Below are 17665 nucleotides of genomic sequence, written 5' to 3' on the forward strand. Positions count from 1 at the left end.
AAGAACGTAAAGCCAAACACTGCATATTCTCACTCATAGGTGGGAATTGAACAATGAGATCACATGGACACAGGAAGGGGAATAACACACTCTGGGGACTGTTGTGGTGTGGGGGGAGGGGGGAGGGATAGCATTGGGAGATATACCTAATGCTAGATGACGAGTTAGTGGGTGCAGCACACCAGCATGGCAGATGTATACATATGTAACTAACCTGCACAATGTGCACATGTACCCTAAAACTAAAAGTATAATAAAAAATAAAAATAAAAAAATAATAAAAATTTTTTGTCATGATTTTTGGTAAATGAATGACTTACGGTGATGTGGAATTCTATTTCATAACATCAAGTGTTTAAACCTTTAATATATTTAATAGGCTTCCCAAAATCAAATTTCAACTTCAAAATTGTCTTTTCTGACCTCTAATTTTGGGATACTACAGAGACCCCTGAAGCACCCAAAGGAGAGGTAAACAGGACTATTTAACATGTTAAGTCACATGGGTAGCACTGTCAAAATAAAAAATAATGTGGAACCTTCCTCAGGTTATATTTAGTGTGTGTCATCAATCCATTCTAAAATTGTGTAGGATTTCTAAAATTCTTGTATTTTTTTTTTTTCTGAGATGGAGTCTTGCTCTGTCACCCAGGCTGGAGTACAGTGGCGCAATCTCGGCTCACTGCAACTTCCACCTCCCGGGTTCATGCCATTCTCCTGCCTCAGCCTCCCGAGTAGCTGGGACTACAGGCACCCACCACCATGCCAGGCTAATTTTTGTATTTTTAGTAAAGATGGATTTCACCGTGTTAGCCAGGATGGTCACGATCTCCTGACCTCATGATCCTTCCACCTCGGCCTCCCAAAGTGCTGGGATTACAGGCATGAGCCACCACATCCACCCTAATTATGGTTATTAAGTTATTGTAGACCACAGAAATAACCAAATTTCCTTGTCAATTGTCTTTAACTATAACTAAAGTCATTTCACAGTTAATTGCTTAATGGTGATGCAGTTTCTAAAAACTTCACAAGCATGCAAAATTCTAGAGTATGGTGTCTCTTAGAAGATTCATGAAAGAATGAAAATGACCCTGAAAAACACTCGTGAACACAGATTTCTAATAACTTTAATATCATGGGTAAAAATTCCCCATAAGTTCCCCGATACCCCAAGAATTGGACTGGCTAAGAATTCTCAACAGTTAGGCTGGGTGCAGCGGCTCATGTCGGCAATCCCAGCACTTTAGGAGGCCAAGGCCGGTGGATCACTTGAGGTCAGGAGTTTGAGACCAGCCTGGCCAAAGGTGAAACCCCACCTCTACTAAAAATACAAAAATTAGCTGGGTGTGGTGGTATGTGCCTGTAATCCCAGCTACTCGGGAGGCTGTGGCAAGAGAATTGCTTGAGCCCAGGAGGCAGAGGTTGCAGTGAGCCAAGATTGTGCCACTGCACTCCAACCTAGGTAACAGAGTGAGACTCTGTCTCAAAAAAAAAATATCAAAAATTTAATAAAAAGACCAACTGGTTTGTAAAACTGCTAACCCAAGTAAAACAAAAATTGTATACCAAGGAAATATTTTGCCACATTTTCATGCTAAATCACCAATATTGAAATTGTTTAGATATATAATTTAAATAAACTCCATGGTCTAAATCAAATTACCTATAACTACTCATCAGTTACCAGTGCCATGCACCTAATTTGGAGAAACAGCTGGTATTCAAGAGGATGTAAGTCTGATGTTAATTAAGCACAGACCTATGAAGAACCAGGATGGCCACCTTATCCTTCTTAAGTCCTAAAAACTTTTGTTATTAAAAGTTCTGCATTCCATAACTCATCACAGAAAGAGAAAACGATCCAAATTAAATATATTGGTGTGGTGATTTCTAAACTGCTAAAATAGTTTATAACCAATGTTTGGTTTGTGAAACCTATATTCCTAGGAAAACAATCAAAACTTCAGGTACATTTGGTTATCTGATGAGCCATTTAAACATTTTATAAAGGGATTTCATTCAGTTGTCATTTTCAGTGCATGTTTTCTGATTGTATAAAAGCTCTTCCATGCGAGAGAGTTGATGTTAAAACAGTAGATTATTACCCTGAAGTGTATTTTCACCAGGTAAAGAAAGCCTTTTATGGTTCACTGAGGACAGTCAAACCCTTCAAAATCTAGAATCTGATGACTGGATCTTCTGAGAACATCAGAGAAGGACTGCCCTCGCCATCCACATGACAACAAAACTTTAAAACCTTAAACTTTGGGTTCATAGTCTCACAACTCAGAAGGGTCCCTCCACACTCAGAACCATATGCCTATTGGAACCCTTAAGGTAAAGCTAACACGGACAGTTCCCCCCAGAAGAAGATGGCATCCTTAATGTGAACAGCTTTTCCCAAGATCACAGATCAAGACTTCTCTACTATCATGAGACTCTTATCTTAAGTATCTGTGCAGCTGCTAACACTTACAGCATGTGGAGAAAACATGGGGTATTATAAAGATTTGGTTGTAGGGAATTAACAAAAAAAACCACTTAGTTAAGCAAGTAAACCCTTTATCTAATTCATTCTTTAATCTATTTGATTTTTGGTGGTTTGATTTATGGGGACCCTGAGTAAGGAGCATATACCACATCTTGGTGTTATCCCAATAGTCATAAGAGTCTCCCTGGTGTACTGTACTTACTCAAATGTTTCAAGAGTTTGCATGCAGCCATCTCTAAAATGTCAAATGGTATCTCTTCAACTGGAATGACAAGAGATTAAAAAAAATGTGCAACCATAAGGCCACCATAACCTATGAGTGACATGCTAAACTGGAAACCCAAAACAATGGGAGTGACATGCTAAACCAGAAACCCAAAACAATGGGAGTGACTTGCTAAAACTGGAACCCAAAACAATGGGAGTGACGTGCTAAAACCGGAAACGAAAACAATGGGAGTGATGTGCTTAAACTGGAACCCAAAACAATGGGAATGACCTGCAAAACCAGAAACCCAAACAGTGGGAGTGAGGTGCTAAAACCAGAACCCAAAACAACGGGAGTGATGTGCTTAAACCAGAACCGAAAACAATGGGAGTGACCTGCTAAACCAGAAATCCAAAACAATGGGAGTGATGTGCTAAAACCGGAACCCAAAACAATGGGAGTGATGTGCTTAAACCAGAACCCAAAACAATGGTAGTGACCTGCTAAAGCAGAAACCCAAAACAATGGGAGTGTCCTGCTAAACCAGAAACCCAAAACAATGGGAGTGACGTGTAAAACCAGAAACCCAAAACAATGGGAGCGTCCTGCTAAACCAGAAACCCAAAACAATGAGAGTGACATGATAAACCAGAAACCCAAAACAATGGGAGTGACGTGCTAAAACCTGGAAACCCAAAACAATGGGAGTGAGGTGCTAAAACCAGATACACAAAACAATGGGAGTGACATGCTAAAACCAGATACCCAAAACAATGGGAGTGATGTGCTAAAACCTGAACCCAAAACAATGGGAATGACGTGCTAAACCGGAACCCAAAACAATGGGAGTGACGTGCTAAAACCGGAACCCAAAACAATGGGAGTGACATGCTAAAACCAGAAACCCAAAACAATGGGAGGGTCCTGCTAAACCAGAAACCCAAAACAATGGGAGTGAAGTGCTAAAACCAGAAACCCAAAACAATGGGAGGGTCCTGCTACACCAGAAACCCAAAACGATGGGAGTGACGTGATAAAACCAGACACCCAAAACAATGGGAGTGACGTGCTAAACCAGAAACCCAAAACAATGGGAGTGAGGTGCTAAAACCAGAACCCAAAACAATGTGAGTGACGTGCTAAACCAGAACCCAAAACAATGGGAGTGACGTGCTAAAACAGGAACCCAAAACAATGAGAGTGACGTGCTAAACCAGAAACCCAAAACAATGGGAATGACGTGCTAAAACCGGAACCCAAAACAATGGGAGTGATGTGCTAAACCAGAAACCCAAAACAATGGGAATGACATGCTAAAACTGGAACCCAAAACAATGGTAACTAAGAGTGATGCTAAGGCCCTACATTTTGGTCACACTCTCAACTAAGTGAGAACTTGACTGAAAAGGAGGATTTTTTTTTTCTAAGACAGAGTTTTGGTCTGTCCCCCAGAGTGGAGTGCAGTGGCATGATCTCGGCTCACTGCAAGCTCTGCCTCCCGGGTTCAGGCCATTCTCCTGCCTCAGCCTCCTGAGTAGCTGGGAATACAGGCACCCGCCACCACACTTGGCTAATTTTTTGTATTTTTAGTAGAGATGGGGTTTCACCATATTAGCAAGGATGGTCTCAATCTCCTGACCTCGTGATCTGCCCACCTCAGGCTCCCAAAGTGCTGGGATTACAGGTGTGAGCCACCACACCCAGCAAAAAGGAGGAATTTTTAAAGCAAAATTATGGGAGGCCATTGTTTTGAACTAAGCTCATGCAATAGGTCCCAACAGACCAAACCAAACCAAACCAAAATGGAGTCACTCATGCTAAATGTAACATAATCAAACTAAGACTTTAGGGAAACACATAAATCCTAGAACAAACCAGGTTTTGTTTTTCTCCTGTAAACAGGATGTTCCAGCATAAGAAGATACCTTCTACTCAAGTCCTTGTTCCACCTTTTCAAATCTCACTGGTCTATTTCCCAGTGGGTTTCTAAACCAAGTAAGTACATTTGCAATGGTAATAGTGACACCAGTGACTGAAGTTTCGGCCAATCTCTCAAAATTGAGAAAATAACCAAAGGGAAGGCATTGTTAAAGTGAACTAAGTATGGCCTGAGAAGGACTCCATAATTCTATATATGAGTCCTTGTGGGTGAACTGCAACCTACCTTAATAGGTATACAAGAATGAAAAACTAACTTAAGAGTATGCACCTGGAACAACAGCTACATCTTGGCCAATCCCAATGGCCAAACTTCAACCACTCAGGCACTGCCAAATGTTCAAAATGTGTTCAAACAAGGCAAACGCTGAGTTGTTTCTGTACCTCACTTCCGATTTCGGTATGCCACTTCCCTTTTGTCTATAAATCTTCTTCCACCACATGACTGCACTGGAGTCTCTGTGAATCTGCTGTGATTCTGGGGACTGTCCGATTCATGAATCGTTTATTGCTAAATTAAACTCCTTTAAAGTTTTTCTTTTAACAGAACTAACACAGAAGAATTTCCAGATCATGAACAGACTTTTTGTAATACCCAACGTTGTATTAACATGAATAGACTCTTCCTTAGACAGCTAACCTTGTTTTTAATATGAATAGACTCTCCCTTAGCTGAGAAAACCAGACAAACTCCATTTGGCTCCTTCATTAACAAGACATCAAGGACTCCTTACCCACCCCCTTTCCTCAAGGACTTTAACTTGTGCAAGCTGATTTTCAACATATCAAAGCGTGCAATTAACTGATAAAGTGCTGAGACAAGAGATGTCCCCAGTTCCCAGCAATTTACTCAGAGATAGTATCATAAAGCCCCCACATTTGTCCGGCAGATAATGCCCAGAGCCCCCTCACCTATCACTTTGTGGTGAATTTAAAGACCCTACACCAGGAACAGTTTGTTTTCCTGTAACCATCTGTCTTTCTAAGTTTTTTGTCTGTTTTTTTCTTCTGTAAAGTTGCTGCAGCTAGAATCCCCCATCCCCTCTCTAAACCAAAGTATAAAAGAAAATCTAGTCCCTTCTTCGGGGCCGAGAGAATTTCGTGCGTTAGCCATGTCTCAGTCGCTGGCTAGTAAAGGACTCCTGAATTCGTCTCAATGCGTGGCATTTCTCTCTAACTCACTCGGGTACGACAGTTTCAACTATGGTAGAAGACTCGAGTAAGGCAAATACAGTCCCCCTAAATTTGACTATTATTCAGGTTAATGGTGAGTTTAGAAGAAATAAGGCTACACAGAGTGGGCTAAAGTGCAAATAAACACTGGAAATATTTCCCAGAAAATATGACTTTGAACAGGCTGCTGCACACCCTGCATGTAGAGATAAACTAAGAAAAACGTGTGGAGAGTTATTTAAGGACCTATGGTTAACTCAGTCCTCAAGATGTTCCAGGTTTCATCCATGAATCAAGGAGGACCTCCCAAAGGCTGTTTGGGACCACACTCTTTGAGCAAGGAGCATACATTACGATGGAAGCTGTGCTTTAGCAGCAGATGACCATTTCCGCTGCACAACACGCCGTGCTTTAGCGGAAGATGACCGTTTCCACTGCACAACACTACAAGTGTTTACTGCCAGGCCGGTGTGAAATATGTTCCAGCACATAATCTATGTCACCAATGAAGGTGGTGGTTCAGACTTGGTGCACGCAAGCTTTCCTGTCCCACAAGAACACAGCATGCTCTCTTCTCAGGTTCCATTCCAATCACATAACAAACATGACTGCCTTTTTTGTCTCGGCATCAGAAAGATCAGAGGAAAATTTGCACTCAACTTAGACAACTCTAAGCTCTTATAACCTGCCTATATCTACAGGTCAGCTTTATCTTATTTATGTATATTTCCTTCAACCTGAGTTTTACTTATTTCTACTTTTCCTTTTTAATTCACAGACACCCATAAACTCAGAAAATACAGTGTAAAACAAAGTGAAGAACAAATAAACAACTCACCAGAGATTTATTCGTTTCTTGTTGCTCTTGGAAACACCCAGAGGACACTGGAAACATAGCTGGGATAGAAGGCAAATGACGTGGATTAAGGAGAGAACTGGTGTGGTGTGGTCCCAGATTCTTCTGCCCAACACTCTAGACACATTACCTGGGAAAGCCCTCCTCCCTCCTGAAAAAGAAAAACTTCCCCAGGGGAGAAGAGTCCTTCACACCTCATTAGGGGCAGCAAAGACTCAAGTTAAGATAAGATACATCTACAAGTACATTAATTGGTAGACATTAGATGCACAATTTATTTTTGAATAAAAATATATATTACCTACTAATTTAGTAACAATATTATCTAAAGATATAATCTAATAATTTAATACAAAGAAACATTATAAGTTCACTAAAGTAAATGTTATAGTAATATACTGGGCTGTATTAACTATTTTCCTATTAATATGTAGATTCCACAAATAACTTCATATGAGTGTTCCCATGACAGTACATCTTGCTTTTCTATACCTGAACATCATGGAAAGTGCATCTTGCAAACCAGCAATTTTGGCCTACAATTACGTTTTTTAAAATGTACATAATATGTATTTCCTGCAGTACACCATTCTACTCATGTTTCCCAATAACACCTTTCCTTCTATCCAAGCCCTCATATTATGCTCTGACAATAAATTGGGCTTTTCCATCTGACTTGTCCAGTGAATGGAAAATGGAAAATGTGATGCAAATATCCATTGGTTCTTTCCTTTTTGGGGGAAATTGTGAAGAGGTCTGGAGCTACCCTGTTGGAGACACAGGGCCTAGCCAAGAGTCACCACAAACCACCAGATTGTGAAGGAAACTATCTTAAACCAACCAGGCTCAGTCAAGGCACCAGGTGACTGAGGCCTTTTTGTGATCCAGGCAACACAAATATATTAACTACCCAGCTGAACCCACCACACCAAAGTGCAGATCCACAGAACTTCAAACAAATAAAATGGTGGTTGTTTTTTATAAGCCAGTAAGGTTTAATTAGTTCCTTAAACAGCAAGTATTAACTGTTACACCTAAGTGAACAGAATTCACTTCTGTGTTTTTAACAAAATTACGTAGGGGGAGAAAATCTTAAATTACAAATCAAATACAATCAATAGAACTTCGCAATCTAATGTTAAATTTGGGGATGGACTAGGTTTAATATATCTCAGACGCTGGAAAAAACGAGCTAAGGTTGAAGGAATGGGACTGTGTTTGGAGAGTATTTTAATCCTCTCAAGTATGACAGGTCACTGCTGTACCCCAGACCACACTTTCAGGCCCCTTCAAATAAGGAATATTTCCTAAGTCCTTGCCTGTTCTTCTTAGCTGAATTCACCTCAACCTTCTGAAAGTTCGTCCAAACCTTCTACTATCACCTAGTCTTTGCAAATCGTGTGCATTCTAGGGAGTAGAATTAATATTTCCTGAGCAAGGAAAACTGGGATCTTCACCTGTGACCTTTTTTCCTCCTCTGAAGCACCAGTGAGAGGTTAGACCAGATGGCTGTTCTTTCAAGTGTGCTTCTTATTCATAGGGAACCCTCCCTTTCAAACTTTGTAACACACAGTTAAGACTGAAGTATCCTTAAGGCTGACGACCATCATCCATTAAGCCATCTCCCTCGCGGAATCAGTGAGTTCTTCCCTGGAAACTAGGTCTCGTATAAACTTCTGTAAATGCGACCCAGGAGGACTAGGCAGGTCACACAGTGAAGGAGGGAACCAGAAACTTCACTTGCTAAAGAGACACCAGGAAACCCAACTAATACAAACGCCAAGTTTAAGACTAGAGGCGCACGCGTTTCACACTACTCCTCTGGGAATGGGGAACGTCTCCCGAGAACTGTGTGTTACCACTGGGACAGATGGGCAAACTGAGCGTCATGCAGGTTGGTAACCGGGTCCCTCAGCGGCAGGACAGGAGCTTGGCCTGCAGACTCCGGGCCCAGGGCCACCGGCCTCTCCTACCTGCTCCTGCGCCTCTAGAACCCGTTTCACTGCCGGGACCCCACGCCTGTCCTCCCAGCCCCCGCCAGGGTCCACTGCCCGCACCTGCACTTCAGGCCCTGCCCGCCCGCAATGTGCCCACGCGTCTGCTCCCACAACTAGGGAACACTGGTCCGGCCCCCCGGGATCCCCTGAGGCCCACGGGTTCCTCTTCGCCCTTGCACCGACCCGCAGGGACATAGAACCAAGCCCCAAGCCGGCCCGGCTACAGGACCGCCTCTGGGTGCCGCACTTCCGGAGGAAAATGGCGGAGTGGGCCGGGCGGCGCAAGCGCAGAGAGAAAAGCTGGTTCCCAAGGTCCTTGATGGTAACATCATTGGAAGGTGACACTACAATTCCCATGAGGCTTTGCGGTACCCCGTTAGGAACCCAAGCCGGACATTCTGTTTTGCCCAGCAGTTGAGTCCAGTTACCCAGAGACCCGGACTTAATGGATCAGGACTGGTCCCTACCCAGGTGACACAGATGTGGCATTCTGGTTCTTTATTAAATCCTGGTTTCACAGCCTGGGACATTGTGAAAATAATGGAGAAATTTCAATAGAGGCCAATTGGTCTATGCTATGAATAAGTTTTTTTTTTTTTTTTTTTTTTTTTGAGAAGGAGTCTCACTCTGTCGCCCAGGCTGGAGTGCAATGGTGCGATCTCGGCTCACTGCAACCTCCGCTTCCCGGGTTCAAGCGATTCTCCTGCCTCAGCCTCCTAAGTACCTGGGATTACAGGCGCGTGCCACCACACTCGCCTAATTTTTGTATTTTTAGTAGAGACGGGTTTTCACCATGTTAGTCAGGCTGGTCTCCAACTCCTGACCTCGTTATCCGCCCTCCTCGGCCTCCCAAGGTGCTGGGATTACAAGCGTGAGCCACTGCGCCCAGCCCTCAAGTCTATTTTTTATAGATGCATTCGAAAGCATGAAAAAATAATGTCTCTATTTTACTTTAAAAATTTTAAAACACAACTAATGAATATGGTAATTCTCTTCCAATCCGTTATCTTTTCTCTCACTAAACTAATTTGTGAGCCTTCAATTTACACTGTTAGAAAATATGCTCTAGTGCACATACTAGGATAAAATAACAGGGTCATAAGACAGGTGCACTCCATAATCTTTGTGACAACTTACACTTCCAGTGTCTGATAAATATTTGCCCGTAGACTCCCAGGTTTCATCCATCCATCCATCAATCAAATCTACCTATCTTTATTTATTTATTGTGAGAAAGACCTGAAATTTGCCTTTCCTTCCCTGATGTCTGCCACAAACTAGGCAAGGAGTTCTGCCTAGGGGTTTCTCAGAGCTCCGGCTACCACCGAGGTTCCTAACAGGGAAACGCAGGCTTGAATGCTCAGGGTTGATGTGGGAGTGCGTGTGAAACGGGGATGGGGTGAAAGGGCAGTGACGTTTGTAGGTGGGCAGATGGGGGTGTGATGGGCTTTCAGGTAAGAGGCACGCAGGAACCTGGGAGAGGCAGCGAAAGCACCTCACGCCTCAGATCACCAGAAGACGCTCCCACCAGTGCCATGACAGTTTGCCAATGCCATGTCATCACGAGAAGTCCCCACCCCTTGCCATGGAAACAGATGGAAGTTACTGCCCATTTCTAGCTATTTCTGAATAACCCGCCCCTTAATTAGCATGCCATTAAAAGTGAATTATAAAAATGACTACAAGCCACCCCTAGGCTGCTGCTCTGGGAGCACAACCCACGGAGGGCTCCCTGCCCTGCCGGAGTGGACGCAGTGCTGTAACACCGCCAATGCCTCCGTAGAGCTGCTTTCTTCCACCACAGGCTTGCTTTTGGATTTCTTCCTAAACGACGCCAAGAACCTGCCCTTCCTCAGTGTGACTCTTGCCTAAAACCTATCCCTGGTATTCTCTTTTCCTAAGCATGCCCTGACTTGTTCTTTCATCTCCTCTGATCTTGCAATTGGTCCTCAGTGACTCTATTCTGCAGATCCAGAAAACTCAACCTTAATCTTCCCAGAGCCCTGTTGTCTCCAATATTGGAATCTCTAGCCTTGTTTTCTCAGACGCCTAGATTACAGGCCTCTCTCTTGAACACCTATTGGTATGGTATCTGGGGATCCTTTAAATACATGATGATTGGCAGGGGTTAAATAGCGGAAATCAGTGCCTGACAATTCGCCTTCCAGGATATGGACTGTCATTCCCTCTCTTGGTGGGCCTCAGTCTCTTATCCATAAAAGTAGAGATTGTAATACTCATTTGAATTGCAGATACCTCAACCCGAACCCACCTAAGATAATGTAAAAGCCAAGAATGCAACCCCTTTCCTCACCCCGTGAAGGTAAAGCCCTCAGAGCCAAGGAGAGAAGGCTCAGGGATGGTATCTGGGTGTTTCCAACGCTAACCATGTATTGTAGTTTTTAGTGTTCAAGTTTAAGCTTCCCCAGCTTTAATTCTATTGTAACAAGATTTATTTTTTTAATTCCATTTTTGGATTCTTGATTTATTGGTAAAGAAATACAGTTATTTTTGTATACCAATCTTATATAGTGTTACATTCTTAAGTTTGTTCATGAGTCCTAATACTTTTTAGTAAATTTCTTACGATTTTCTAAATGCAAGATCATGTCATCTGTACATAAAGATAACTGTACTTCTTCCTTTCCAATCTAGATGTTGTTTATTTATTTACATTGCCAACTTGTCCCAGCTACCACTGTTATCAAGTAAAAGGGTCTCACTGCCCAAAGCACAAGAAGCCGGTACCATGACACTGAGTTTTCGAGAAAAGAAAAAGTTTAAAGTCAAACCAAAACCTAGGGTACAGGCCGGGCGCACTCGGTGAAACCCCGTCTCTACTAAAAATACAAAAAACAAAAATTAGCCGGGCGTGAAGGCAGGCGCCTGTAGTCCCAGCTACTCGGGAGGCTGAGGCGGGAGAATGGCGTGAACCTGGGAGGCGGAGCTTGCAGTCAGCCGAGATCGCGTCACTGCACTCCAGCCTGGGCAACAGAGCGAGACTCCGTCTCAAAAAAAAAAAAAAAAAAAAAAAAAAAAAAAAAAAAAAAAAAAACCTATGGGATACAGTAAAAACAGTACTACAGTACTAAGAGGTAAGTTTATAGATAAAAGCACCTACATCAAAAAAAGTAGAAAAGCTTCAAATAAACAACCTAATAATGCATCTTAAATAATTAGAAAAGCAAGAGCAAGCCAAAACCAAAATTACTAGAAGGAAACATAGCAAAGATCGGAGCAGAAATAAATGAAATTGAAATTTAAAAATATAAAATATCAATGAAATGAAAAGTTAATATTTTTAAAAGACCAACAAAATCAACAAACACTTAACCAGACTAAGAAAAAAGAGAGAAGATTCAAATACATAAAACCAGAGATTAAAAAGGAGACACTATAACTGATGCTGTGGAAATTCAAAGAATCATTAGAAACTATTATGACCAACTATATTCCAATAAATTGAAAAACCTGGAAGAAATGGCTGGGCACCGTGGCTCATGCCTGTAATCCCAACACTTTGGGAAGCCAAGGCAGGTGATCACCTGAGGTCAGTAGTTCAAGACCAGCCTGGTCAACATGGTGAAACCCCATCTCTACTAAAAATACAAAAATTAGCCAGGCATGGTGGCATGCACCTGTACTTCCAGCTACTCTAGAGGCTGAGGCAGGAAAATCACTTGAACCTGGGAGGCAGAGGTTGCAGTGAGCTGAGATTGTACCACGCTGCAGTCTGGGTGACAGAGCAAGATTCCATCTCAAAAAAAAAAAAAAAAAACCTAGAAGAAATGGATAAATGAAATTGAAGCCGTAATAAAACATGTCCTAGCAAAGAAAAGCCTGGATTCAATGGCTTCACTGGCTTCACTGATTAATTTTACCAAACATTGAAGGCAGAATTACTATCAATCCTACTCAAACTATTCCAAAAAAACAGAGAAGGCTGTAGTATTTCCAAACTCATCCTATGAAAAAGACCATTCATCATGTCTAAGTGGGATTTATCCCAAGGATGCCAACATGGTTCAATGTATGCAAATCAATCAATGTGACACATCATATCAACAGAATGAAGGACAAAAACCATATGATAATTTCAATTGATGCTGAAAAGCATTTAATAAAATTCAACATCCCTGTGATAAAAAGAAACCCTCAAAAAAAACTAGATATAGAAGGAACATACCACAACACAATGAAAACCATATGCAACAGACCCACAGCCAGTATCATCCTGGACAGGGAAAAGCTGAAAGCCTTTCTTCTAAGATCTGGAACAAGACAAGAATGTCCACTTCCAACACTGTTACTCAACATAGTACTGGAAGTCCTAGCTAGAGCAATTCAGACAAGAGAAAAACAATAAAAGGGATCCAAATTGGAAAGAAGTAAAATTATTACTGTTTCTTGTTTGCAGATGATTAGCTCTTATATTTGGAAAAACCTAAGGACTCCACCAAAAAACTATTAGAACTGATCAACAAATTCAGAGTCACAGCATACAAAATCAAACTACAAAAGTCAGTAGCATTTCTAAATGACAAAAATGAACAATCTAAAGAAGAAAATCAAGAATGTAATCCCATTTACAATAGCTACAAATAAAATAAAATAACTGGGAATAAACATAACAGAAGAAGTGAAAGATCTCTACAATGAAAACTATAAAACATAGATGCAAAAAAATTAAAGAGGACACCAAAAAAAAAAATGGAAAGATAGTCCATGTTCATTTATTGGAAGAGTAAATATTGTTAAAATACCCATACTTCACAAAGCAATCTACAGATTCAATGCAATCCCTATTGAAATACTAATAACTTTCTTCACAGAAACAGAAAAAAAATCCTAAAATTTACATGAAACCATAAAAGACCCAGAATACCAAAAGCCAACCTGAGCAAAAAGAACAAAACTGGAAGAATCACATCACCTGACTTTAAATTATAGTACAGAGCAATTATAAACAAAACAGCATGGTACTGGCATAAAACAGACACATAGACCAATGGAACAGAATAGAGAACCCAGAAATAAATCCATACATTTACAATTAACTCATTTTCAATGAAGGTGCCAAGAATATACATGGGGGAGAGGACAGTCTCTTCAACAAATTGTGCTGGGAAAACTAGATATTCATTGGCAGATTTTTTTTTTTTTTTTGAGATGGAGTCTAGCTCTGTTGCTCAGGCTGGAGTGCAGTGGCGCGATCTGGGCTCACTGCAAGCTCCACCTCCCGGGTTCACACCATTCTCCTCCTCAGCCTCCCAAGTAGCTGGGAGTACAGGTGCCCACCACCACGCCTGGCTAATTTTTTTTTTGTACTTTTAGTAGTGACGGAGTTTCACCGTGTTAGCCAGGATGGTCTCGATCTCCTGCCCCCATGATCCGCCCACCTTGGCCTCCCAAAGTCATTGGCAGAATAGTTAAACTAGAACCCTCTCTTGCACTATATACAAAAATCAAATCCAAATGGGTTAAAGACTTAAATCAAAGACACGAAACTACTGAAAGAAAACATTAGGGAAACTCTCCAGGAAATTGGTCTTGGCACAGATTTCTTGAGTAATACTCCAAAAGCTCAGGCAACCAAAGCAAAAATGAACAAGTGGTATCACATCAAGTTCAAAAGTTTCTGCACAGTAAAGAAAACAATGGACAAAGTGAAAAGACAATCCACAGAATGGAAGAAAATATTTGCAAACTATATAACTGACAAGGGATTAATAACCAGAATATATAAGGAGCTCAAACAACTCTACAAGAAAAAAACTAACAATCCAATTATTTAAATAGGCAAAAGATCTGAACAGACAGTTCTCAAAAGAAGGCACACAGGTCAGGCGCAGTGGCTGACACAAGTAATTCCAGAACTTTGGGGAGCCAAGACGGGTGGGCCACTTGAGCCCAGGAGTTCAAGACCAACCTGAACAACATAGCAAATAATTTTAAAAACTACCTGGGCATGGTGATGCATGACTGTGGTCCCAGCTACTCAGGAGGCTGAGGTGGGAGGATTGCTTGAACCCTGGCAGTCAACACTACATTAAGCCATGATCATACCACTGCACTCCAGCCTGGGTGACAGAGTGAGACCCTGTCTCAAAAAATGAGCAAAAACAAAAAAGAACATATATAAATGGCAAATAGGTATATGAAAAGATGCTCAATATCATTGATCATGACAGAAATTAAAATCAAAACTACAAAAATATATCATCTTACCCCATTAAAATGGCTTTTATGCAAAAGACAGGCAATAACAAATGCTTTCAAGAATTTGGGGAAAAGGGAACACTCTTACTCTGTTAGTGGGAATGTAAATTAATATATTCACTATGGAGAACAATATGGAGGTCCCTCAAAAAATTAAAAATAGAACTATCATATGATCCAGCAATCCCACTGCTGGGTATATACCCAAGAGAGGGAAAATTAGTATATCAAAGAGATATCTGCATTCCCATATTTATTTCAGCACTATTCATAATAGCCAAGATTTGGAAGCAACCTAAGTGTGCATCAACAGATGAAGGGATAAAGAAAATGTAGTACATATACACAATGGAGTACTCTTCGGCCATGAAAAAGAATAAGATTCTGTCATTTGCAACAACATGGATGGAACTAGAGGACAATTATGTTAAGTACAATGAGCCAGGCACAGAAAGACAGACTTCGCATGTTCTCACTCATTTGTGGGAGCTAAAAATTAAAACAATTGAACTCATCAAGATAGAGAGTAGACTGAGAGTTTCCAGAGGCTGGGAAGAGTAGCGGTGTTATGGGATCTTTGGGGTGTTACTTTTCTGGACAGAAACCTCTATGACTGGTGGCACCTTTGCCTGAGTTTTGCTGGGCCCCGCACACTCAGCCTGGCAGGCTGTGCTCTGCTCATGCTACCACGTTGGATCCCATGCCTGCCAAGGGAGACTGCATGGAGTGGCAAGGGGTGTGTGAGTGAGCATGGGGTCTGGCCACTGTGCAGTCAGATTTGCTGGCTGCTGAAGTGGAGCAGGTAGCTCCAGGTGCCAACACGGGCGCCAGCTCTCCACAAGGCTGTGGCTGGACCACGGGCACCTCAAGAAGCTTCCACAGCTGGCACACTGGGAACACAGTGGCACCCAGAAGCTTGGAGATATCAGGAACCAAAGGCCCCAAAGAAGGAATCACAGCTCTGGCTCGGGGAGCTCCCAGGTCTGGGCTCCCCAAAGGGCCATAGCTCTTCTTTCCTTCTCTTTGCCCACAATGTGGCGAGCAAGGGGCATGTCTCAGCCCTGTTTGTGTTACAGCTCTTTCAGCCTCTTCCCTAGGATTTGTCATAATTAATTCCCATATCGTCTTATTTTTTTACACGTGTTTCAACTTCAGAAGATGTATGGATCTAAACACAACATGAAGTGTTAGCTAGCTGCCATATGAGTTTCTCCCTGTTTCACCACTATGTAGCCTAAAGTTATTCCGTCATCCATGACTATCCTGGCTAAAGAGTCTGAAGATCTTTATTTGGTAGCTATGGCTTCAGCTGGTTCATTTGCTAAGTTACCTAGAGTGGTTGACAGATTTCTAATTATACGTTCATGAGAGGTTACTCCCCACCATTGCAAGAGATTTCTGCCAAACATAGGCCAAAATTCATCTCCTTGGTTTGCAGGTACGGTTTGTCTAATCCTGGAAAATAATTTCGATGAACTACTTCAGCGTTCAGAAACATTGGAGTTATAAATAGGAAGAGGAAGAGCCACATAACCTAATAGACAATTACCTCTCATATGCCAGCGGTCAACACATTCATAAGCCCATGTGTGCTTGATCCAGGGACCACACAGGGTCCCTGACGGATTCTGAAATTTAAGGCTTTGGTTTACTGGTAACAGAGACAGGTTAAAGTACATGTCTTCAGTCTTGAGTAGAGTGCAATCAGTCTGATTTCTTTTTTTTTTTAATGAGACAAACATCAGGTAAAGACCTTGACAAGAAGGAAGATAAATCCCGAGATTCTATAATCATAATAATCGAATTGTAATTGCTAGTTTAAGTAGTCCTACAAAAATACATCTCATTACTGACAGGATAAAACAAGTTTTTTAAAAATATATTTTATCTGGGTTCACTAGGGAACACTTGGAGCCAGGAAATAATTCAGGATTCAGCCCAAATTATAGGCAAATAATAAAAACTCGGAAAAGAATGATCAGGGCTGGAATCTAATAGCATATGTCACAGTTTTCATTTGAAACATGAATTTTCTCTCTCTAGTCCATCATTTTATCAAAGACAAACCATAGTAGGACAAATTTCTGTGCAAAATAAGTTTTAGTCTTATCATACCTGGTCTGATTATTTGCATAAAGTGCAGCAAGAATATTTATTGACCATATAGGCTTCTTAAAATTGGCTTTGTTGGAACTTTCTAATAAGGAATCTTAGACTTTTAAAAGCCTTGAGGCTAGCCAAGTCAAAGATTTGCATCATACTGTGTCTGTAATACTTTTTTTTAACCTACGTTTTTATTATACTTTAAGTTGTGGGGTACACGTGCAGAATGCTGAGGTTTGTTACATAGGTATACATGTGCTGTGGTGGTTTGCTGCACCCATCAACCCATCACCTATATTAGGTATTTGTCCTAATGCTATCCCTCCCCCCGCCCCCAACCCCCAACATGCCCCAGTGTGTGATGTTCCCCTCCCTGTGTGCTTGTGTTCTCGTTGTTCAACTCCCACTTATGAGTGAGAACATGTGGTGTTTTGTTTTCTATTCTTGTGTTAGTTTGCTGAGAATGAAGGTTTCCAGCTTCATCCATGTCCCTACAAAGGACATGAACTCATCCTTTTTTATGGCTGCATAGTATTCCATGGTGTATATGTGCCACATTTTCTTTATCCAGTCTATAATTGATGGGCATTTGGGTTGGTTCCAAGTCTTTGTTATTGTGAACAGTCCTGCAATAAACATACGTGTGCATGTGTCTTTATGGTAGAATGATTTATAAT

At 41.5% G+C, this 17665-nt stretch overlaps 1 long non-coding RNA gene across 14 annotated transcripts in view; it reads right to left on the reverse strand.

The window, feature by feature from the left end:
* The window catches only part of LOC101928669 (uncharacterized), a 75950-nt gene extending 67013 nt beyond the window's left edge, over window positions 1-8937 (reverse strand). For 6 of the 14 annotated variants that reach the window (XR_001756113.2, XR_007068513.1, XR_007068511.1 and 3 more), the window contains exons 1-3: window positions 8727-8921; window positions 8127-8319; window positions 6652-6710 (exon numbers count right to left, since the gene is read on the reverse strand). This is a non-coding gene — a long non-coding RNA (uncharacterized LOC101928669). Of the gene's footprint in view, window positions 1-2696; window positions 2757-4425; window positions 6711-8126 lie in introns of those variants that run through there. The other 8 variants (XR_007068510.1, XR_007068512.1, XR_007068509.1 and 5 more) reach the window with 4 other exon arrangements.
* Between the last annotated feature and the right edge of the window lie 8728 nt (window positions 8938-17665).

The sequence above is a fragment of the Homo sapiens genome, assembly GCF_000001405.40.
Source record: "Homo sapiens chromosome 3 unlocalized genomic scaffold, GRCh38.p14 Primary Assembly HSCHR3UN_CTG2".
Lineage (NCBI taxonomy): Eukaryota > Metazoa > Chordata > Mammalia > Primates > Hominidae > Homo > Homo sapiens.